At 52.3% G+C, this 21,956-nt stretch overlaps 1 protein-coding gene and 1 non-coding gene across 3 annotated transcripts in view, besides 5 other annotated features; both read left to right on the forward strand.

Moving 5' to 3' along the window:
- Positions 41–390: a silencer, noted in NCBI's record as "silent region_10319". NCBI's record gives its function as "represses an Ori minimal core promoter by ATAC-STARR-seq in GM12878 lymphoblastoid cells {active_cell/tissue: GM12878}" and the evidence as "EXISTENCE:reporter gene assay evidence [ECO:0000049][PMID:35858748]".
- Positions 243–21,956, forward strand: part of MYO9B (myosin IXB) — a 137,510-nt gene continuing 115,796 nt past the window's right edge. For both annotated transcript variants that reach the window (NM_001130065.2, NM_004145.4), the window contains exon 1: positions 243–340. The gene's annotated coding sequence lies outside the window, so the exon portion shown is untranslated. The remainder of the gene's footprint in view (positions 341–21,956) is intronic.
- Positions 385–679: a silencer, noted in NCBI's record as "tiled region #7940; K562 Repressive non-DNase unmatched - State 1:Tss". NCBI's record gives its function as "represses a minimal TATA promoter and a strong SV40 promoter by Sharpr-MPRA in K562 cells {active_cell/tissue: K562}" and the evidence as "EXISTENCE:reporter gene assay evidence [ECO:0000049][PMID:27701403]".
- Positions 4,113–4,212: a silencer, noted in NCBI's record as "silent region_10320". NCBI's record gives its function as "represses an Ori minimal core promoter by ATAC-STARR-seq in GM12878 lymphoblastoid cells {active_cell/tissue: GM12878}" and the evidence as "EXISTENCE:reporter gene assay evidence [ECO:0000049][PMID:35858748]".
- Positions 4,225–4,762: an enhancer, noted in NCBI's record as "H3K27ac-H3K4me1 hESC enhancer chr19:17190569-17191106 (GRCh37/hg19 assembly coordinates)". NCBI's record gives its function as "activates a minimal SCP1, AML or CMV promoter by ChIP-STARR-seq in primed H9 embryonic stem cells {active_cell/tissue: H9 hESC(primed)}" and the evidence as "EXISTENCE:reporter gene assay evidence [ECO:0000049][PMID:30033119]".
- Positions 6,299–6,848: an enhancer, noted in NCBI's record as "H3K27ac-H3K4me1 hESC enhancer chr19:17192643-17193192 (GRCh37/hg19 assembly coordinates)". NCBI's record gives its function as "activates a minimal SCP1, AML or CMV promoter by ChIP-STARR-seq in naive H9 embryonic stem cells {active_cell/tissue: H9 hESC(naive)}" and the evidence as "EXISTENCE:reporter gene assay evidence [ECO:0000049][PMID:30033119]".
- On the forward strand, positions 16,701–16,831 carry SNORA118 (small nucleolar RNA, H/ACA box 118). Its single transcript, NR_145784.2, has one exon. It is a non-coding gene; the product is annotated as a small nucleolar RNA, H/ACA box 118 (small nucleolar RNA).

A 21,956-nucleotide genomic window follows, 5' to 3' on the forward strand; every position in this document is an offset into this window, starting at 1 on the left:
TGAGGCAGCGCCGGCTAAGTGTGGAGAGCGCGGCCCCAGACGCGCGCTTCGCCTGTCCTCCCCTCGCACTTGGTCTCGCCCACCATCGGCGGTAGTGGGTAGGGGCGGTGGGTGGGACCTGATCTGTCGGACAGTAGGGGCGGGGCTTTTCGCGATGCCCCGCCCCTAGGAGCGCTGGCGTCACGCCCCCGTCCCCGCCTCTCCGGAACCCGGAAGCGGGAGCGCGCGGGGGAGCGGCGGGCGCGGCGGGGCGGAGCGGCTCGAGCAGCGGCGGGCTGGCAGGCGGTCGTCCGGCCGGGGACCCGGCCCGGGACCGGCGGCGCGCGGCGGCCGAGGCCAGGTGAGTACCAGGCAGCCTCGGGTTGGCGACTCGAGCTCGAAGCCTGCCTTTGGGGGCTGCGCAGAAGAGGGACGGAGCTGAGGGCTGATGGGGGACGCGACGGCAGGGGTCGAGGGGGCGGGAACGAGCCTGGGGGTCTTGGAGAGATTGCTGGGGATGAGGTGGAAGCGAGACGGTGAAGGAGAAAGTGGATGGGGATGGAGCTGGTGAGGGAGTTCGAGGGCGTGGGGGGGGTGAGTCTTGTGGCTTTGAGCAGCTTCTCTGAAGAGGACGTGGCTTAAGTGGTAATTGGGGGGTCGCAGGAAACGGCGTTGTGGGGAGGCACGGAGGCGGGAACGAGAGGCCCAGGCTGGGGGAGTGGGCAAGGCCAGGGGCGGGACAGCCGGGGTGCGGTTGAGGGGAAGGGGTGCGAGACCGATCTGGGGACGTCTGCCCGCGCGATTGAAGGAAGGGTGTCTGAGAAGAGGGCGGCGCCTGGCCCCCAGTGGGCGCTCAGTAAATGCGGGGGGTTCTGAACTAACTGATGCGGCAGCCGGCTATTGGGAAGCGGGGAAATGGGAGCTGGAAGGGAAGTAAACGGAGTAGAAGTCACGGTAAGAACTGAGGGTAGGCTTAGGGAGGGAGGGCCCGGAGAGGAGGGAAGAGAAGGAAGGGGTTAGAGTGGCCCCGTGCAGATAGATGTTGAGATGCAGCCCCTGGAGATTCCGTCCCCCCACCCTCCCCTCTTGATTCGTGTCCCTCCTGACTTCACACTTAACAGCTGGGTGACCTGGGACGAGTCCCAACACCCTCTGTGCCAGTGTCCTCGTCTTGGAAACTTCACCACCCTCCCCTTAAGACAGGACTAGCAGGATTCTGGGATTCCCTGGATCCAAGGAAGGGACCTCAGGGCCGGTTGTGGGGCCGGAACTGTGTTTCAGGAGGGAGTGTGCATGCACCCTCATGTACAGGACTGTCGCCACCTCCGCAGAGCTGCATCCTTGGACTTAAATGGGTAAAACGACATACAGGAAATCTGTCCCCCGGTTGCTCTGAGCTCAGCCCTGGAGAGGCACGACAGCCACGAGCCCTCCTTTCTTTCCTGGGCACCCTGGAGGCCAGGGGTCTTTAAGGGATGGCTTCTCTGCCTCTTTGTCTGAGGTGGGAGCCCGTGGGGACACTTTCCAGCCAGAGAGTCCCAACTCGGTTTGTTTTTTGATGTTGGAGTCTTCAGAATCTTAAGGTGTCCAGGAGCAGCCGGAGGTGACCTGGGCTACAGGAAAGTTATTCACATCTGACAGGCCTGGCTCTTGTGGCCCTGGCAGGGACTTTGTGCAGGGTGCTTTTGATTGGCATTCATTTCTCCCCTTTCCCAACTGTAGGGATCTTTATCTGGGATCTGCCAGAAGGGCTGGGGAACCCCAGCTTATGTTTAGTTTATAGCTCATTCAGGAGATGAACCCGGATAGCTGGAATATAAAGAGGGCCACAGAAAGATAAGCACCCCCTTCACTTCCAGAATATCCTGGCCTTTAGGAAAGGTGGCTTTGGCCTGGCTTGCCCCAGGACATGCAGTGACAGCCCACAGTCATGCCTCCTGCAAACATTGAACTGTAGGCTTGCACTGGCCTACAGAACAGGACCGGGATCTTCTGATCCCGCAGCCCTGCAATCGCCTCTTCCCTGCCGCTAGAGAATGGCCAAGCAGGGTCTTGTGGGGGGAGCACTGTGTTGGAGATCCTGGCTTTGGTCAAGTCTCTGTGCCTGTTTCTGACCTCTCACCTGCAAAATGAATGAATTGACCTCCATCAGCGTTTTTCAACCTTGAAACCCAACTCTTCTCATCACCGTCTTGTCTCCAGTCCATGTCCCCCAGCTCCCGGCCTTGAACTCCTCACAGCACCCCCACTCTCCATTCCTGGCTGCGATGATCCTACTTTTATTCCGTTTTCCATTCGACAGTTTGTATCCAAAAATGATTTTTTTTCAACCGCTTCTTCATCGTCCAAATAGAAAATTGCGGTGTTGAAGGTGCTTTTGCACATTGCACCTATTCCCAAAGCTTTGGAAACTGCAAATTTCTGGAAATCCCGAGGCAGTACCGTCCCTCGGGTCCAGTCTGGTGACTCAGTGGAGCAGGTAGAGACGTGGGAATCTCCCCTTTCTGTTTGGCTGTAGGATTCGTTATTCTCTCCCCACATGGACTTGTTAACTTGCTGCTTCCCATTCCTCATCTCTTCCAAATGGTGTGTCTTGGGTGGGCCTAGATTTCAGTTAGGCAAGGGTTGATTGTGCCAGACACTTGGTAGATTCCTGGGGACAGAGGTGAATCCTTATGACCCAGAGGACGGACACGCTAATGCCCGCCCCCGACAACTTTGCACTTCCTCTTCAGAAAGAATGGAGTTCAAGCTGGGCCGCGGTGGCTCAGGCCTGTAATCCCTTTGGGAGGCCAAGGTGGGTGGATCACAAGGTCAGGAGTTCAAGACCAGCCTGACCAATATGGAGAAACCCTGTCTCCACTAAAAATACAAAAATTAGCCCGGCGTGGTGATGTGCGCCTGTAGTCCCAGCTACTCTGGAGGCTGAGACAGGAGAATTGCTTGAACCCAGGAGGCGGAGTTTGCAGCCAGCCAAGATTGCGCCATTGCACTCCAGTCTGGGTGACAGAGCAAGATGCCCTCAAAAATAATAATAATTAAAAAAAAGAATGGAATTCAGATCAGGTCATCAGTACGGTGACAGAGGGGCCACAAGATATTATGGGGGGAGAATTAGGGACAACCAATGCAAGCTTTAGGACAAGGGGGATTCCAGCAAGTTTCCTCGGAAGTAGTGGCTGGCCCCAGGTCAAACCTGGAAAGATACCACGTGTTAAACCACTCCGGGTGGAAGGGATTGCACAAGCAGATACCTTTGAAGCCCGGCCTGTACAGGGCATCCCAGCTCTCTCATTCTGCCAACCGGCAGTGCGAGGGTCCTTGTTCTTATCTTCCTGATACAGAAACAGGCCCAGGCAGGTGATGACTTCAGAGATGGTTCCTTGAGCTTTCTAGAAACATGCAGGATCCTTAGTAACCTTTAACTGGGGAAACCCAAATCTCCAGGGCCGTTTCTCACCCGCATCACCATTGACAGTTGGGGCTGTGCACTGTAGAATGTGGAATAGTGTCCCTGGCTGTCACCCATGAGATGCCAGTAGTATTCCATCCCCTCCAAGGGGTAACAACTGAAAATGACTCCAGCCATGGCCACGTGTCCCCTGGGGGCAGAATCACCTCCCCCGCCAGGTGAAATGTGATGCTCATTAGTAAAACCTGGTTCCCCTCTAGGGCCCATCATTGCCTTGGTGGGTCCTTGGTGTTTGTGGAGCCCCTGAGGAACTGCCACTAAGAGTGGGAACAGGGGCAGAGACCAGGAACTGAATCCTGCCATCCAGTCAGTTCTTAATCAGGAGGGAGCGGGTCTTGATAAAAAGGAGGAACCGTTAGGAACGGACTGTGGGAGGGTAGGCAACGTGCCCGAGGGTGGACAGCGGGTGCCCTTGTCTTTTCTTTGTCTTGTGACTGACCTGGATTTCTGGAGGAACTGTCCTCGTCTTAGAATGATCTGTTGCTTTTCTTCTGAGATTAGAGGTATTAGATTCTCTCCCAAGAGCTACTTTGGAGGTTGCCCCGGATAAACGTCGCTTTTGTAAGCTGCATTATCTCTTCCATGGGCCCTTTCGCCCGCCCGTTCCCAAGCACATACTGCTGAATTTTTGTTCTTGGTCCATCTTGCTGTCCCCTTCCCTGCTTGGCCCCCTCCTTGACCGTGACTTTGCTGCTTTACCTTGATTGGAGGAGACGCTCTGGGGCCACGGGACTGACGGTCCCTTCTGGGTGCTGCCCCCACACCCCACCCACCAGCCCTTTGTGTGCCCGGCATCCCCAGCCCAGCTGTGCCAGGCTGCCCCTGCTCGGCCGGCCATTCAGACGGCCCCAGGCGGCCTCTCGGCAAAGCAAGACAAGCCCTTCTCTTCTGCCCTCGTGGTCCCTGGAGTGGCAGAACAAAGGGCTCTGTCTCCACACCAGCCCACCGCCGCAGCCCAGAGCCCCGTTCCCTTTCAATTTCTATCGTGGCTGGGAAAGAGCCTCAGAGATTAGGCATGTTTCAGAAATGCAGCTGACGAGTTTGGGTTCTACTCATTTCCTCAGCGAGACTTTCTGAGCCCGAGCCCGATGATAAATAAAGTAGTGATTCAAGGGTTCAGCCCATGGGTTCGTCGGAGTGATGAATAAGATATCCTTGTCTGACTCACTTGTTTAAAACCCATCTCTGCCCTGCTGCACAGGGCTGTATGTGCAAGAGAAGGAGCCCCGCTAGGGGTGTTTCATGACTGTTGTTGCTGGGTGCCTGAGTTTGCTAGGGCTGCTGTAACAGAACCGCACGCTGGGTGGCCAGAACGACAGAAGTATATTGGCTTGCAGTTCTAGAGGCCAGACGTTTAAGATCACATTCAAGATCAAGGTGTTGGCAGGGTTCGTGCCTTCGGAGGGCTGTGAGAATCTGTTCCACGCCTCTCTCTGTTGGCTCATACATAGCCGTCTTCCCCTGGGTCTTCACATCGTCCTCCCTCTGTGCCTGTCTCTGTGTCCAAATTTCCTCTTATGAGGACAGCAGTCATATGGAAGGGGGCCCACCCTAATGACATCATTTTAACTGAATCATCCCCATAAAGACCCTGTCTCTAGGCGAGGCTTGGTGGCACACGCCTGTAATCTCAGCCCTTTGGGAGGCTGAGGCAGGAGGATCACTTGAGGCCAGGAGTTTAAGACCAGCCTGGACAACATAGCAAGATCCCATCTCTACAAAAAAATACTAAAATTAGCTAGACATGATGGTGAATGCCTGTGGTCCCAGCACTTTAAGAAGCTGAGACAGACAGATCGCTTGAGCCTGGGAGTTTGAGGCTACAGTGAGCTATGATCATGGCACTGCATTCCAGCCTGGGTGACAGAACGACACCCCCATCTCTTAAAAAAAAAAAAAATCCCAAATATACTCATACTCTGAAGTTCTGAGGTTTAGGATTTCAATATGTGAATATTTCTTTGTGGAGGGGAGTGGTGGACACAGCTCAGCCCATAATACTGAGAAAAGGACAAATTCAAATTACATTTTTATTTATTTGTTTATTTATTTTGGGGGCGGGGGCAGAGTCTCACTCTGTCACCCAGGCTGGGGTGCAGTGACGCGATCTCAGCTCACTGCAACCTCTGTCTCCCAGGTTCAAGTGATTCTCCTGCCTCAGCCTCCCGAGTAGCTGGGACTACAGGCGTGCGCCACCACGCCCAGCTACTTTTTGTATTTTTAGTAGAGATGGGCTTTCATTGTGTTGACCAGGCTGGTCTTAAACTCCTGACATCAGGTGATCAGCCCGCTCGGACTCCCAAAGTGCTGGGATAACAGATGTGAGCCACCGTGCCCGGCCTCAACTTACATTTTTAGATAATATAGGAACCTGGAGGGAAATGATCGTGTCAATAGAGAATAGGTCCATTTTGTCTCTTCTCACTCCTTTAAATAAACACTTTAAGGGTGAGCAGGTTGGTTGGCCACATCAATTTTGGACGCTCCCTGTTTTCCAGATCTCACACTCATACATTCAGGGGTGACTAAAGAGAGGTGAGAGGCCTGGTGCAGTGGCTTACGCCTGTAATCCCAGCACTTTGGGAGGCCGAGGTGGGAGGATCACCTAAGGTCAGGAGTTTGAGACCAGCCTGGCCAACATGATGAAACCCAGTCTCTACTAAAAATACAAAAATTAGCTGGGTGTAGTGGCACACACCTGTAATCCCAGCTGCTTGGGTGGCTGAGGCAGAAGAATTGCTTGAACCCAGGAGGCAGAGGTTGCAGTGAGCCGTGATCTTGTGCCACTGCACTCCAGCCTGGGCAAGAGAGTAAGATCCCATCTCAAAAAAAAAAAAAAAAAAAAGAGGCGAGGACCCAGCCCAGGGCGGAGTGGGTCCCATGGGATTTTACAGGGGATGTGTTGAGGGCCAGGTCCACAAGGCTGCGTGTGCCTGGTGGGGAAGCAGGATGAAGTTTACAAACAGGGCATGGGGCGGGGGTATATCTCTGTTCTCAGTATTGCCAGGGTCAGGGGCAAGGAATATCCAAAAGTAACTACACTCTTGGACCCAAGTGACCTTAGGACCAACTGCTGTCACAAGTGATTGAACAAAAGAAGTTTCTGGAAGGTCTTAAAATCCTTCAGCAAAAAGGAAGTATTGGCTGGGAGCCAGGCTCAGAGCTGGCCCTTGGGGAGACTGAGGAGAACAGAAATAGCCCTCGCCTCTGTTCAGATGTTCAGCCAGGAGTCACGAGCATGGAAGTCAAATTAACAGCCCAGTGGGGTCTGTGAAGGTGCCGGCAGCAGGCGAGCCTGTGACGGGAGCCTGCCTGGCCTGGGGACTCGCTTATGGGGGAAGTGGGAGACCTGAGAGCTTCCCCAGTCAGCCGTGCCCTGGGTCTTCTGCCTGCGAGGTGGGCACCGCTGCTTCCTCACGAGTGAAGTCACAGCAGCACAGCAGCAGTGGGAGGCTCAAGGCTTTGCTGTGGATCTTCCTGGGCTCACTGCTCAGAGCATCTCCACGAGGAGGCGTCTGCCACCTCCTGCATCCCATTCCAGGGCAGACGAGATCGGGGGCAGGAGGGTGACATTTGAGATTTTGATTCCCAGGGTATGGGTACTCACGTGGGGCTTTAATTTCCTGGTGAATGTGCCATGGGGGGCAAGGGGTAGCTTGCCCACTGCTTGGGAAGACCCCTGGGGTCCTTGTCTTGTCACGTGGAGATGCTGTTTATTGGGTAGGCACAAGAACAAGAGAGGCGGAGAAAGTGTGATCGTACTTATTTGGCCCATAGGTGCCGTGGAAACTGGTTCCTTTCCCCTGGGTGGTCCCTCGGGAGTCAGGCCCATGATTTAGCAGGGAAGGGAGAAGGTAAGGGTTGGGGTGTCCTGGAGTGCAGAAAGTGGCCTGAACCGGGGCAGGTACGTCCTCAAGGCTGGCTCCCTCTTGCACTCCGCACTCTCAATATCCTGCAGCCAAGTGAGCGTGGGGTTGGAACCATGCTAACATGTCAAGTGCCCGTGGGTCCTCGAGGAGGCTGAAAGTGTGTGAATCTTGCTTTTTTTTTTTTTTTTTTTTTTGAGACAGGGTCTCACTCTGTCACCTAGGATAAAGTGCAGAGGCATGATCTTGGCTCACTGCAGGCTTGACAACCTCCCTGGGCTCAAGTGATCGTCCTACCTCATTCTCCCTAGTAGCTTGGGACTACAGGCTGTCACCACCACGCCAGGCTAATTTTTGTATTGTTTATAGAGACAGGGTTTCACCATGTTGCCTGGTCTTGAACTCCTGGGCTCAAGTGATCACCCGCCTCAGCCTCCCAAAGTGCTGGGATTACAGGCGTGAGCCACCACGCCCAGCCACTTTTCTGATTGATTTAAAGCATATCTTCTCAGCTGCAGCATTGGTGACATTGGGGGCAGATCATTCTCTTGGGTAGCAGCTGCCGTCTGCACTGTAGGGTGTTGAACAGCATCCCCGGCCTCCACCCTTCAGATGCCAGTAGCACCCCCTGCTCTGTGTCTGGATAACCAGAAATGTCTCCAGACATGGCCAAGTGTCTCCTGGAGGGCAGAGTCAGCTCTGGGTGAGAAACACTAGTTCCGGGTTCTGTTGACTCCTAAGTGACTTTGCGTCTGTCATCATCTGACTGACCGAAGTCCTAGGATGCTGCCCTCTTTTTTTTTTTTTTTTTTGAGACTGAGTTTCGTTCTTGTTGCCCAGGCTGGAGTGCAATGGCACGGCCTCGGCTCACTGCAGCCTCCACCTCCCAGCTTCAAGTTACCGATTCTCCTGCCTCAGCCTCCCAAGTAGGTGGGGTTACAGGCACCCGCTACCACGCCCAGCTAATTTTTATATTTTTAGTAGAGATGGAATTTCACCATGTTGGCCAGGCTGGTCTTGAATTCGTGACCTCAGGTGATCCACCCACCTCAGCCTCCCAAGGTGCTGGGATTGCAGATGTGAGCCACCATGCCCAGCCCGCACATTTAAATACACAAAGTGAATGGGGAAGGAGAGAGGAGAGAAATCAGAGAGGCTAGGTGGATTCTCCTGGTTAATAACCCTTTGGGTTAATAACCCTTTGGGGGCCAAGTGATTACATGCCTGTAATCCCAGCACTTTGGGAGGCGGAGGTGGGAGGATCCCTTGGGCCCAGGACTTCCAGACCAGCCTTGGCAACATAGTGAATCCCCGTCTCTACAAAAAAGATACAAAAATTAGCCAGGTATGTTGACACATGCCTGTGGTCCCAGCTACTCAGGAGGCTGAGGCCGGAGGATCACTTGAGCCTGGGAGGTTGAGGCTGCAGTGAGCCAAGATGGTGCCACTGCACTCCAGCCTGGGTGACAGAGTGAGACTCATCTCAAAAAAAAAAAAAATTATTGGGAATGTATTCTGTGTATTCTGGTATTTAGTGTGAGGAAAGAATCAATTTTTTTCCAAATAATTAATGTAGGGTCTCTCACCCTCAGCACTGCTGATATTTGTGGCTGGGTCCCTCTCTGTGGTGGGACCCTGAGCACCACGGGGTGTGGACCAGCATTTCCAGCCTCAACCTTCTTCATGTTGGTAGCATCCTCCCTGTCCCAACAACCCTTAATATGTCTCTGGGCCAGGCGCAGTGGCTCACATCTGTAATCCCAACACTTTGGGAGGCTGAGGCAGGCAGATCACTTGAAGCTAGGAGTTTGAGACCAGCCTGGCCAACATGGTGAAATCTTGTGTCTACTAAAAATACAAAAAAAAAAAAAAAGAAAAAAAGAAAAACACACACACACACAAAATTAGCCAGGTATGGTGTGGTGCACCTGTAATCCCAGCTACTTGGGAGGCTGAGGCAAAACAATCGCTTGAACCCGGGAGGTGGAGGTTGCAGTGAGCCAAGATCATGCCACTGCACTCCAGCCTGGGCAACAGAGCAAGACTCTGTCTCAAAGGGAAAAAAACATGTCTCGGGACAGAGGTTGCCAAGTGTCCCTGAGGACAGAGTCAGCTCCAGGGGAGAAACAATGATATAGAAGAACACCAAGCTTTTGAGGGGCAAGCAGAGCCTGTTGAGACCTACAGGTCAAGCCCGTGACTGGCCTGAGGTGACTTCTTTCTCCCCTGCCTTTGTGGTGTGATCACCAGGGTCCCTGGCACAGGGATGAGCTTCAAGGGGAGCTGGGGAGTGGCTGTTTCACCGAAGACACTGGTGGCAGCAAATCCTGAGACCATTGTCCCCCACCATCCAGTTCCGCTCTCAGGTGATCAGAAAATGGAACGAGCTCCCTGTGTCCTTTGTAGAAACCAGGCAGAGGGTGGGTTTCATGGCCAGGAGGAGGAGCATCTGTCTGAAGGCCGCAAGGGCTGGGTCACAGATGGGCAGCATTGGGAGATCCTGGCAGGCAGAGAGCACTCCACGTGGAAACTAGAAGCATGGGGCAGATGGGGGGCCAGGTAGCGAGCCACCTAGGCAGCTCAGCAGATGTGGAGAATGGGAATAAACTTGGGGGGTCTTTGGGGGAATCAGTGGGATAGGTGATAGCTAAAAGGTACAGGGTTTCTTTTTAAGGTGATGTAAATGTTCTAGCCAGGGGCAGTGGCTCATGCCTGTAATTCCAGCTCTTTGGGAGGCTGAGGCAGGAGAATCACTTGAGCCCAGAAGTTTGAGACTGGCCTGGGCAACATAGGGAGATCCCGTCTTTAATAAAAAAAAAAAAAAATTGAAAAATTTACCGAATGTGGACTTGCACCTGTAGTCCCAGCTACTCCAGAAGCTGAGGTGGGAGGATTACTTGAACCCAGGAGTTCGAGACCGGCCTGGGCAACATAGGGAGACCCCTGTTCTTACCCTGGGGATGGCTTTCCTCCGGGCGTGACGACAGATGAGCTGTGTGATTGCACAGCAGGATACAAGGGTTTTTCCTCTGCCCTTCCAGACCCGCGTCCCTGGCTGCCCTCCCTATCTTCGTTACAAGCCCACAGGTCACCCGAGAAGGACCTGCAGCCCAGCCACCACCCAGTGGCTCTGCCTTCTACCTGTGACCAGAACCCACCTGTGTCTCATGGGCCTGACCCAGGCCACTGTCAGCTCCCGCCAAGGCACCCACAGGACGTGCTTCCACCAAGGCCCCCCAGAGTCCATCTGCCACAGATGGTGACATTTTCTTAATGTCCCTCTGGTCCTGGTGCCCCTGCATCAAACCACACGGGGCTCCCCTGTCGGACTTGCATGAAAATCTAACCACATTTGCAGGGCCCTGGAAGATCTGACCTTCCCCATCTCAGCTTCTCTCTCCCGGCCTCCAGCCTTGGACCCACCGGCCACACTGGGCTCCTTGTTCTCAGACCCACTCTGGCCCCGCCTGCCCATTCCCCGCCCTCGCCTGGGCTGCTGTCCTCAAGCTCTGGGCACGTCCAGCTCGTTTGCACTGTACAGGCCTCAGCAACCATTTGCCCTGAGCGCCGCCCCACAGGTTCCTATCCCCAGCTTCCCCACCTTGGCCCGGCTCGTATTGGGGCCAATTATTTTTTGCTGTGGGGGCCGTGCTGTGCACTGTGGGACACTGAGTGGCATTCCTGGCCTCCACCTACCATTTGCAGTATCCCCTCGCCACAAGTGGTAACTTCCAAAATGTCTCCATGGCCAGGTGCAATGGCTCACGCCTGTAATTCTAACACTTTGGGAAGCTGAGGCGGGCAGATCGCTTGAGGCCAGGAGTTCAAGACCAGCCTGGCCAACATGGAGAAACCCTGTCTCTACTAAAAATACAAAAATTAGCTGGGTGTGGTGGCACACGCCTGTTGTCCCAGCTACTCGGGAGGCTGAGGCACGAGAATCACTTGAACCTGGGAGGCAGAGGTAACAGCGAGCTGAGATAGCGCTACTGCACTTCAGCCTGGAAAACAGAGCAAGACTTCGTCTCAAAAAAAAAAAAAGTCTCCAGACATTGTCAGATGTCTGTCCCAGCAGGGACAGACTCACTGCTGGCTGAGAACTGCAGTGTTAGCACAGTTATGCTGGATTTTTCCTCCCCAAAGCACTTATCACTGTTGCTAATACCTCCTTGCTTTGTGGTGAGTGTGTTATCCGTCTCCTTCACCTCCCCATTCTCTCTCCTGTGCCCAGCATCAGCCTGGCCCGGGGTGAGCACTGAAGGAACATTTGTTAACCATATGTTGAAAGAAGGCAGCCTCCTCTGAAACATCAGCACAGATCACAGGGAGGGAGACCCCAGGGCCTGGAGGGGTGGGCGTATAGCACAGGTCGGAGAGCACTTGGGCCACGGGGAGGCGGGTGGCCAGAATGCGCTGAAAGAACACATACCTGGGAAGGGACTTTCTCCAGGGCGTGGGGTTTAGAACAGTCAGGCCAGATGGAAGGTCTGGGGGAATGTCTTGGGGAAGACAAGGGACAAACTGAACACGTTCAGAAGAACACATTCAACTCCCCATGGGTGAGCGTGGAATTGGCAGAAGTCACGAGAGAGCATTTGGGATGAGCTTCTTGGGAATATTCGGCTAAGGCAGAAAAAAGGCTGGAGCAACCGAAGGGCTCACCCAGCTACCTTCTGGCCTGAGTGTTCCACTCAAGGTGTTCTGCACTGGGCAACTGGATTCATGTCCTGGGGCTTCCATAACTAAGTACCTATCCTGGGTGGCTGAGGAGGCCACAAGTCTGAAATGAAGGTGTTGGCCAGGCACGGTGCCTCACACCTGTAATCACAATACTTTGGGAGGCCGAGGCGGGTGGATCACCTGAAGTCAAGAGTTCACGACCAGCCTGACTAATGTGGTGAAACCCTGTCTCTAGTAAATACAAAAAAATTAGCCAGGTGTGGTGGTGCATGCCTGTAATCTGAGCTACTTGGGAGGCGGAGACAGGAGAATCACTTGTACCTGGGAGGCGGAGGTTGCAGTGAGCCGAGATCGCGCCATTGCACTCCACCGTGGGCAACAAGAGCAAAACTCCGTCTCAAAAAAAAAAAAAACGAAAATTAGCCAGGCGTGGTGGTGGGTGCCTGTCATCCCAGCTACTCGGGAGGCTGAGGCGGGAGAATAGCTTGAACCCAGGAGGTGGAGGTTGCAGTGAGCCGAGATCGCACCACCGCACTCCAGCCTGGGCAACAGAGCAAGAGTCCATCTCAAAAAAGGTGTCAGCAGGACCACACTCCCTCTGGAGGCTCTACGGGAGGACCCTTCCTGCCTGTTCTAGCTTCTGGGGCTCCAGGTGTTCCATGGCCTGTGGCCACATCACTCCAATCCCCACCTCCATCTTTATTCACGTGCCGCCTTCTCTCTGTGTGCACATGTCTCTTTTCCTTTTATAAGGACGCCAGTCTTTGGATTTGGGGCCCACCCTTGTCCAGTACAACCTGATCTTAACTGACTACATCCCCAAAGGCCTTATTTCCAAACAAGGTCACATTCTGAGGTTCGCGGTAAGCATGAGTTTTGGGGAGCACGAATGAACTCCCCACTGGAAATGCCTCTCTTTGTAATTTTGCCCTGCGGACGCTGTTTCTTGGCCCTGCTGGCTCCCCCAGCTGCTCCCCGAGGAGTTTCCCATCCCTGCTCTGTCCCACCCCTAGGACCTGGCCCCTTAGCAGGGCCTGGGCCACCAATGATGCCCACCAATTCCTGTGATGTCCTGTACCAGACCGTGGTATGAGCCCATTGACCTCTGCAGTGGATTCTTGGAAGCAGCCCCACTTACTTTGTTTATTTACTTATTTGTGTGTGTGTGAGAGAGAGAGAAACAGGATCTGTCTCTGTTGCCCAGGCTGGAGTGCAGTGGCGCCATCACGGCTCACTGCAGCCTCGACCTCCCAGGCTTAAGTGATTCTCCCACCTCAGCCTCCTGAGTACCTGGGACCACAGGTGCATGCCACTATGCCCGGCTCATTTTTTATTTTTTGTAGAATTGGGGGGTCTTTCTTTGTTGCCCAGGCTGGTCTCAAACTCCTAGGCTCAAGTAGCCTCCCAAAGTGCTAGGATTACAGGAATAAGCCACCACGCCTGGCCATATCCCCACTTTCTGAAATGCCCCAAAAGAGCTTAGTTCCTCCCTCCTGTCACCTGCAGTGGGCCATCTCTTGGAGTTTTCTTAACAATTTCTTCTCTTGAGTGTCCTCTTCCTCCCGACTGGCACGTGAGCGTGGCCATCTTATGGTTAGGTTGCAGGTGTAGAAAAATGAGGACAAAGGTCTCTAAGTCGTCCTCCCACTCTGAGCCACCCTGACCAATAGGCTGACTTTGTGGTCATTCCTTCGTGTGTGTGTGTCCATCTTTCCCATACTGCCCATGAGCGTTTCTTCTAAAAAAAAAAAAAATCCTCAACAGGATCAGGGAAATGTACACAAAATGTGAAATGCACTGAATGCTGCACGATGCATCCTAAATGAGTCTGCTGTAATGCTAGTTAGCCTTCCCTTAGCTTGAGAATGATTTCATCCTATAAACATGTGGCTTCAAATTATGGCCTTATATAAACGAAACGGCTACGCCACACTTTCTGGAGGCCCCGTCCGGAGGCCTTTATTCTCCAGTAAATTCCGAATCCTCCGCCAAACTGGTAGGCAGAACCCTACTTTCTGTGCAGCCGGCCTTGAGAGCGGCTAATTCACATCCGGCCACTGACCCCCACCCCCAGGGCCTGTTTTTTTTCGTTGTCATGCCTTTCCTTGCACCTCCTTTCTATGAGAACACAAGGAAAAGGCCCTGAATTGAGATTGGCATTTTTTCAGAGTGCAGAAAGCATATACTGGCCTGGTTTTACATAGCCATTTCTTTTTGCACCGCTCCGTTTTTTTAAAAGGAGTGATCATTTTTATTGTAGTGAAATGCACATAACGTGTAATTTATCATGAGTAACATTCAGTGCATTCACAGTGTTGTGCCAACACCAGCTCTATCTGATTCCAGAACACTTTCATTCCCCAAAAGGAAACCCCGTCCCCATTAGCCATCACTCCCCACTCCTCATCCCCTAGCTCCTGACAACGACTCATCACTTTCTGTGTCTGTGGATTTGTCTGTTCTGGCATTCTGGACATTTCTATAAATGGAGTCACACCCCATATGGTCTTTCGTGTCTGACTTCTCTCACTCAGCATCATGTTTTTTAGTTTCATCCACGTTATAGCATGAATCGGTGCTTCCTTCCTTTTTTTTTTTTTTTTTTTTTTTTTTTTTTTTTTTTTTTTTTTGAGATAAGGTCTGGCCCTGTTGGCCAAGTTGGAGTGCAGTGGCACAATCTTGGTTCACTGCAGCCTCTGCCTCCCAGGCCCAAGCCATCTTCCCACCTCAGCCTCCTGAGTAGCTGGGATTACAGGCACACACCACCACACCTGGCTAATTTTTGTGTTGTTTTTTTTCTGTAGAGACGAGGTTTCGCCATGTTCCCGAGGCTGGTCTTGAACTCATGAGCTCAAGCGGTCTGCCGGCCTTGGCCTCGCAAAGTGCTGAGATTAGAGGCGTGAGCCGCCTCACTCAGCCTTCATTCCTTTTTATGGCCAAATAATATTCTGTTGGATGAATGGGCCACGTTGTGTTTTTCCATTTATCCGTTGACAGGCACTTTGTTACCACTTTTTGGCATTTCTTCGAGGATCTTTATAGTCTGACAGTTTGATTTTCATTTGGTGACAAGGGGATTGTTCTTACACAAGGCCTTGGTCGTACTGATGCTGTCAGCTGGAGGATGTATTTTGCTTCCTGTTCACATTGTCTGTGCGTGGGATGGTCATGAGTCAGGTGGTAGAGCGGGTGTGTTAGCCTTGGGGTATTTTGGTGAGACAATTCGGTTTAAGGAAGGAAACACGTTTTCAGGACCCGTACCCCAAAACACAACCATAACCCGAGGTCGCCACTTGGCTGAGCTGTCCCCCACAGGGACTTCAGGTCCCTGGTTCCTCCATCCCCAATCTGCTTCCTTCCATTCCCGCCAGAACCAGGGTATTTTCCAAGGGCAGGTTTCACATCCACTTGGGGCAGGGATCTTAAGCCACAGTAAGACTAATTTCCAGGTCCCAGGTCTCCTGGGAAACCCCAAAAGACTGAGCCCTGCCGAGTGAGAACATTCTCTGAAGCTCTGATAATCAAAACAGCGTGGCACCTCACAAGCCTCAGCAGCCCAGAGGCGGACCACATGTATAAAATAACGCCATGTGTAGTATTTAACAAAGGAGGCTCCCCAATCCAGGGAGGGAAGGATTCTTTCACAAAAGGCATGAAAACAGTTGCTTCCATGTTTGGAAGCAGTTTTGTTTTGTTTTTTGTTTGTTTTTTTGATACATGGTCTTGCTCTGTGGCCCAGGCTGGAGTGCAGTGGCATGATCACAGCTCACTGCAGCCTTGGCCTCATGGGCTCAGGCAATCCCCCTGCCTCGGCCTCCCGAGTAGCTGGGATTATAGATGTGCACCACCACGCCCAGCTAATTTTTTAATTTTTTATAGAGATGGCGTCTTGTGGCCAGGCACAGTGGCTCACACCTGTAATCCCAGCACTTTGGGAGGCCGAGGTAGGAGGGTCACTTGAGGTCAGGAGTTTGAGACCAGCCTGGCCAACATGGTGAAACCCCATCTCTACTAAAAATACAAAAATTAGCTGGGTATGGTAGTGTTCAGGCCCAGGTATAGGGGGTCAGCCCAGAGCTGTGGGTGAAAGGACAGGCCCATGGTCCCACCTGTGGGAGCAGGAGAGGACCAGGCCGATGAGCCTTGCAGGGGGCACGCCAGCTTGTGGTCCCAGCTAGTTTCTGCTCCCACCACCCCCATCCCACTCCCAGGGAGGGATGTCCCTTCTAGGGCTACCCCCTTCCCTGCAGCCCTGGCTGCTCAGCAGCCGCCTTGAGCAAGCCCTTATCCACTTCCTCCTGGCCTGGGGGCGGGGCACGCATCTGCCAGTCCTGTGACCGTCCCCTTCAGCCCCATCTCTGAGAGTGGGGTTTCCTGAGAGTCTGCCCTTCTGCCCCGCACACCAGGGGCCCAGAGCTGCAGAAGCCCCCACAGGCTTTGTTCCCAGCAGGGCTCAGAGGGCTCCTGGTGCTCCATCAGCAGTCCCTGGAGGACACGGAGCAGTCTCAAGTGCAGCCGTCCATGTGGCCTTCAGCCCTTGTGATTCCATGAGCTAGCATCAGCCGTCCCCTCAGTGGGTGGCAGAGGCTGCCGGGAGCAGAAGAAAGAGCCCATCCTTGGGTTCTCCTGGCTTCTCGCTCAGAGCTGCTCTCTGCTGTGAAGGAGGAAGTAGGCATATCCCAGTGAGTTTTGCGTCGCCTACATCCAGGCAGCTCAGCCATAAGTCAGCCCAAAGCCCGCCAGCTGGGAGCTGCACTGAGCCCCTGGTCACAAAAGTGAACGTCACAGGACGGGCCAACTCTGCCCAGGCCTCGCTGTGTGCACATACACAGGTGTACGCATGTATGTAGGCATGAACATGTGGGTGGACATGTGCATGCAAGTGTTTTGTGTACAAGCATATACGTGTGGCTGGGCACATGTGTGTGCATGAGTGTTCATATGGAAGTATATGCTGGGCGAGGCGGCTGGATCACTTGAGGCTAGAAGTTGGAGACCAGCCTGGCCAACATGGCAAAGCCCTGTCTCTATTAAAAGTACAAAAATTAGCCAGACGTGGTGATGCACGCCTATATCCCAGCTACATGGGAGGCTGAAGCACGAGAATCTCTTGAACCCAGTAGGCAGAGGTTGCAGTGAGCTGAGATCGCACCGCTGCATTCCAGCCTGGGTGACAGAGCAAGGCTCCGTCAAAAAAAAAAAAAAAAAAAAAGCGCTTGCACATATGTTTTTTCATACCTGTGTCCTTGTATGCATGTGCATGCATGTGAGTGTGTATACAAGCATATGACTATGTGTACAAGCATGTGTGTGCATAGTGTGTCCATGTGTGTGCTGTGTTTATATGAGCATGGGTGTGTCCTATGTTGTGTTCACAGAGGTGTGTTCATGTTTGTATACTGTATGCACAGAAGTGTGTGTATTCACATGTGTTTCCTCTGTGTACATGCAAGCACATGGAAGTACATATGCCAGTGCACACACACATTCATGCATGTGTGATTAAGACATGTATCTTGGCCAGGCACTGTGGCTCACACCTGTAATCCTGGCACTTTGGGAGGCTGAGGTGGGCGGATCACCTGAGGTCAGGAGTTGGAGACCAGCCTGACCAACATGGTGAAACCCTGTCTCAACCAAAAATACAAAAAATTAGCTGGGCGTGGTGGTGCACGCCTGTAATCCCAACTACTTGGGAGGCTGAGGCAGGAAAATGGCTTGAACCTGGAGGCAGAGGTGCAGTGAGCCAAGATCGTGCCACTGCACTCCAGCCTGGGCAACAAGAGTGAAACTCCCATTTCAAAAAAAAAAAAAGAAAAAGACATATATCTTCGGTTTGGGCTCCTGTATTCCTTACCTGGATTAGAAGTGCGTAAACCTCTGTCCATCTTCCTTGGCCCTGTGGAGCTGCCTGGGAACATTCCATGATTAACTCTCGTGGCGTCCTGGGACGACCAGGTGAGCGATACCATGTGGCACCTGGGAACCTGACGTACCTTTAGATTTCCGACCATCTCCCTGCTGTGGTGTCTGAGGAACTGTGCCTGGGCTCAAGGGCTGAACTTTTGAATACAGAGTAAGAAGTTTTAGAAAGATAAACTCCTGGGGAAATGGGATCTTTTAAATCCATGTAATTTTTAAAGCAGTTTTTTTGCGGGGGGTGGGGGGGGGGGTGGTTTGAGATAGGTTCTTGCCCTGTGGCCCAGGCTGCGGTGCAGTAGTGCAGTCACTGCTCACTGCAGCCTCCACCCGCTGGGCTCAAGTAGTCCTGCCACCTCAGCCTCCCAAGTAGCTGGGACTAAAGGTGTGTGCCACTATGCCCAGCTAATTTATTTATTTATTTATTTATTTATTTATTTATTTACTTTGTAGAGTTACCTAGTTGTGTGGCCCAGGCTGGTGTCAAATTCCTTGGCTCAAGCAATCTGCCCTCCTCAGCCTCCCAAAGTGCTAGGATTGTAGGCATGAGCCACTGCAGCTGGCTTTGTTGTTGTTGTTGTTGTTGTTGTTGTTGTTGTTGTTAAGACGGAGTTTTGCTCTGTTCCCCGGGCTGGAGTGCAATGGCGCAATCTCGGCACACTGCAATCTCCACCTCCCGAGTTCAAGGGATTCTCCTGCCTCAGCCTCCCGAGTAGCTGGGATTACAGGCATGCGCCACCATGCCTGGCTAATTTTGTATTTTTAGTAGAGACGGGATTTCTCCATGTTGGTCAGGCTGGTCTCGAACTCCCAACCTCAGGTGATCTGCCCACCTTGGCCTCTCAAAGTACTGGAATTACAGGCGTGAGCCACCACGCTCGGCCAAGCACCTGGCCTTTTTAAGCAGTTTTATCCAGGTGAAATTGTTGCATAATAGGCTGCACTTACTCAGTGTGCCAACAGCCATGAGCCCACCACCACGACCAATGCCATAAACACATCCATCATCTGAAAAGTGTCCTCAGGCCTCTTGGCATCCCTCCCCACTCCACATCCCCAAGCAGCCACCGATCAGCTTTCTGTCTTCATAGGTCAATTTGCATTTTCTAGAATGTTATATACATGGAATCATACAGTATAGGCTCTTTTTAAAACTTAATTAAGGAAAAGTCACAAAAGGTAAAATTCACCATCTAAAGTGTGTAATTTGGCTGGGTGTGGTAGCTTAAACCTGTAATCCCAGCACTTTGGGAGGCTGATACAGGCAGAATGCTTGAGCCCAGGAGTTTGAGACCAGCCTGGGCAACATGATGAAACCCAGTCTCTACTAAAAATACAAAAATTAGGCAGGCGTGGTGGCATGTGCCTGTAGTCCCAGCTGCTCAGGAGGCTGAGGTGAGAGGTTTGCTTGAGCCAGGGGAGGTTGAGACTGCAGTGAGCCACAATTGCACCACTGGACTCCAGCCTGGGCAACAGAATGAGATCCAGTCTCAAAAATAAAAATTTGGCCAGGCGCAGTGGCTCATGCCTGTAATTCCAGCACTTTGGGAGGCTGAGGTGGGCAGATCACTTGAAGTCAGGAGTTCCAGACCAGCCTGGCCAACATGGCGAAACTCTGTCTCTACCAAAAATAGAAAAATTAGCTCGGTGTGGTGGCGGATGCCTGTAATCCCCTGAGATTGGAAGGGAGGCTGAGGCAGGAGAATCGCTTGAACCCAGGACGTGAAGGTTACAGTGAGCCAGGGTCGCAGCACTGCAATGGAGTGCAAGACTGTGTCTCAAAAAAGAAAAAAAAATTAAGTGTGCTAGTCAGTGCATTCACCGTGTTGTGCAACGACCAGCTCTATCTGATTCCAGAACATTTTCATCCCCTTAAAAGGAAACGCGGTCCCCATGAGCAGTCACTCCCTATTCCCCCTCCCGGAGTCCCTGGCAACCACCAATCTGCTTCCTGTCTCTATGGATTTGCCTGTTCTGGACATTTCATATCAATGGAATCATACACCATGTGGCTTTTTTGCGTCTGGCTTCTCTCAGCTTCATGTTTTTGGGGTTCATCCATGTTGTAGCACGGAGCAGTGGTTCCTTCCTTTTTATGGCTGAATCATACTCCGTTGTGTGGATGGACCACGTTTTGTGTATGCATTCATCTGCCGATGGACATGGGGTTGTTTCCACCTTTCGGCTATTGTGAATAGAGCTGCAGTGGACATTGGTGTACAAGGAATTGAGTCGCTGCTTTCTATTCTTTTGGGTCTATACCTGGGAGCAGAATTGCTACGTCTGTATGTAGTTATGTAATCTCTTTTGTCAGGCTTCTTCTTTTTTTTGAGACGGAGTCTCGCTCTTTCACCCAGGCTGGAGTGCAGTGGCGCGATCTAGGCTCAGTGCAAGCTCCGCCTCCTGGATTCACACCATTCTCCCGCCTCAGCCTCCTAAGTAGCTGGGACTACATGCGCCCCCCCACCACGCCTGGCGAATTTTTTTTTGGTTTTGTATTTTTAGTAGAGAAGGGGTTTCACCGTGTTAGCCGGAATGGTCTCGATCTCCTGACCTCATGATCTGCCCGCCTCGGCCTCCCAAAATGCTGGGATTACAGGCATAAGCCACCGCACTGGCCTTGTCAGGCTTCTTTCACTCAGCCCAACAATTCTGAATTGGTTTCCTATCACTGTGAGCATCAGGAACCAGCCATCCTGAACTCGTTGGTTCCTTCTCATTGTTGAACCATATTCCATGGTGTGGTCAGTGTGTTCATTCGGTGGGTGGACATTTGGGTTCTCAGTTTGGGACTCTCAGAAGTTACACGTCTCTGTCTCGACATCTGCTTCATTTCTCCTGAGTAACTCCTGAGAGGGGAATTGCAGGGTCACGTGCTAGGTATGTGTTTTAACATTGAAAGAAACTGCTGAAGTGTTTTCTAAAGCAGATGAGGGCCAGGCACAGTGGCTCATGCCTGTAATCCCAGGACTTTGGGAGGTCAAGGCAGGTGGAGTTCCAGACCAGCCTGGGCAACATGGCAAAACCCCCTCTCTGCAAAAAAAAAAATACAAAAATTAGCTGGGCATGGTGGTACAGTCAGAGGATCACTTGAGCCCAGGAGGTCGAGGCTGCAGTGAGCTGAGATCATGCCACTGCATTCCAGACTGAGTGACAGAGTGAGACCCTGTCTCAAAAAATAAAAAAGCAGATGAGCTGCCTCGTTCAGATAGTTTGTTGTTGTTGTTGTTGTTGTTGTTGTTGTTGTTGTTGTTGGTTTTTTTTTTTTTTTTGGAGACGGAGTCTCGCTCTGTCGCCCAGGCTGGAGTGCAGTGGCATGATCTCAGCTCACTGCAAGCTCCGCCTTCCGGGTTCACGCCATTCTCCTGCCTCAGCCTCCCGAGTAGCTGGGACTACAGGCGCCCGCCACTGCGCCCAGCTAATTTTTTGTATTTTTAGTAGAGATGGGGTTTCACCATGGTCTCGATCTGACCTCGTGATCCGCCCGCCTCTGCTTCCCAAAATGCTGGGATTACAGGCGTGAGCCACCACGCCCGGCCTGTTGTTGCTGTTTTTAAGAAATAGAGTCTCTGCCAGGTGTGGTGGCTCACGCTTGTAAATCCCAGCACTTTGGGAGGCCGAGGCGGGTGGATCACTTGAAGTCAGGAGTTCGAGACCAGCCTAGTCAACATGGCTGTCTCTACTAAAACAGAGAAACACTGTCTCTACTAAAAACACAAAATTAGCCGGGCATGGTGGTGGGCCCCTGTAATCCCAGCTACTCAGGAGGCTGAGGCAGTAGAGTTGGTTCAGCCCAACAGGCGGAGGTTGCAGTGAGCCAAGATCACAGCACTGTGCTCTAGCCTGGGTGATAAAGCGAGACTCCATTTCAAAAAAATTAAAAAAAAAAAAACAGCATCTCGCCCTGTTGCTCAAGCTGTATCTTAGATAGTAAAAATAAAAATAAAAATAAAAATAAACCAGGCTCTCAAAGCTTTATCTCATGACCTGGAGGAACATACAAATGCACTGACATATCAAGGAAAGAATTAGGTTTTACA

Source organism: Homo sapiens, chromosome 19, assembly GCF_000001405.40.
Source record: "Homo sapiens chromosome 19, GRCh38.p14 Primary Assembly".
NCBI lineage: Eukaryota > Metazoa > Chordata > Mammalia > Primates > Hominidae > Homo > Homo sapiens.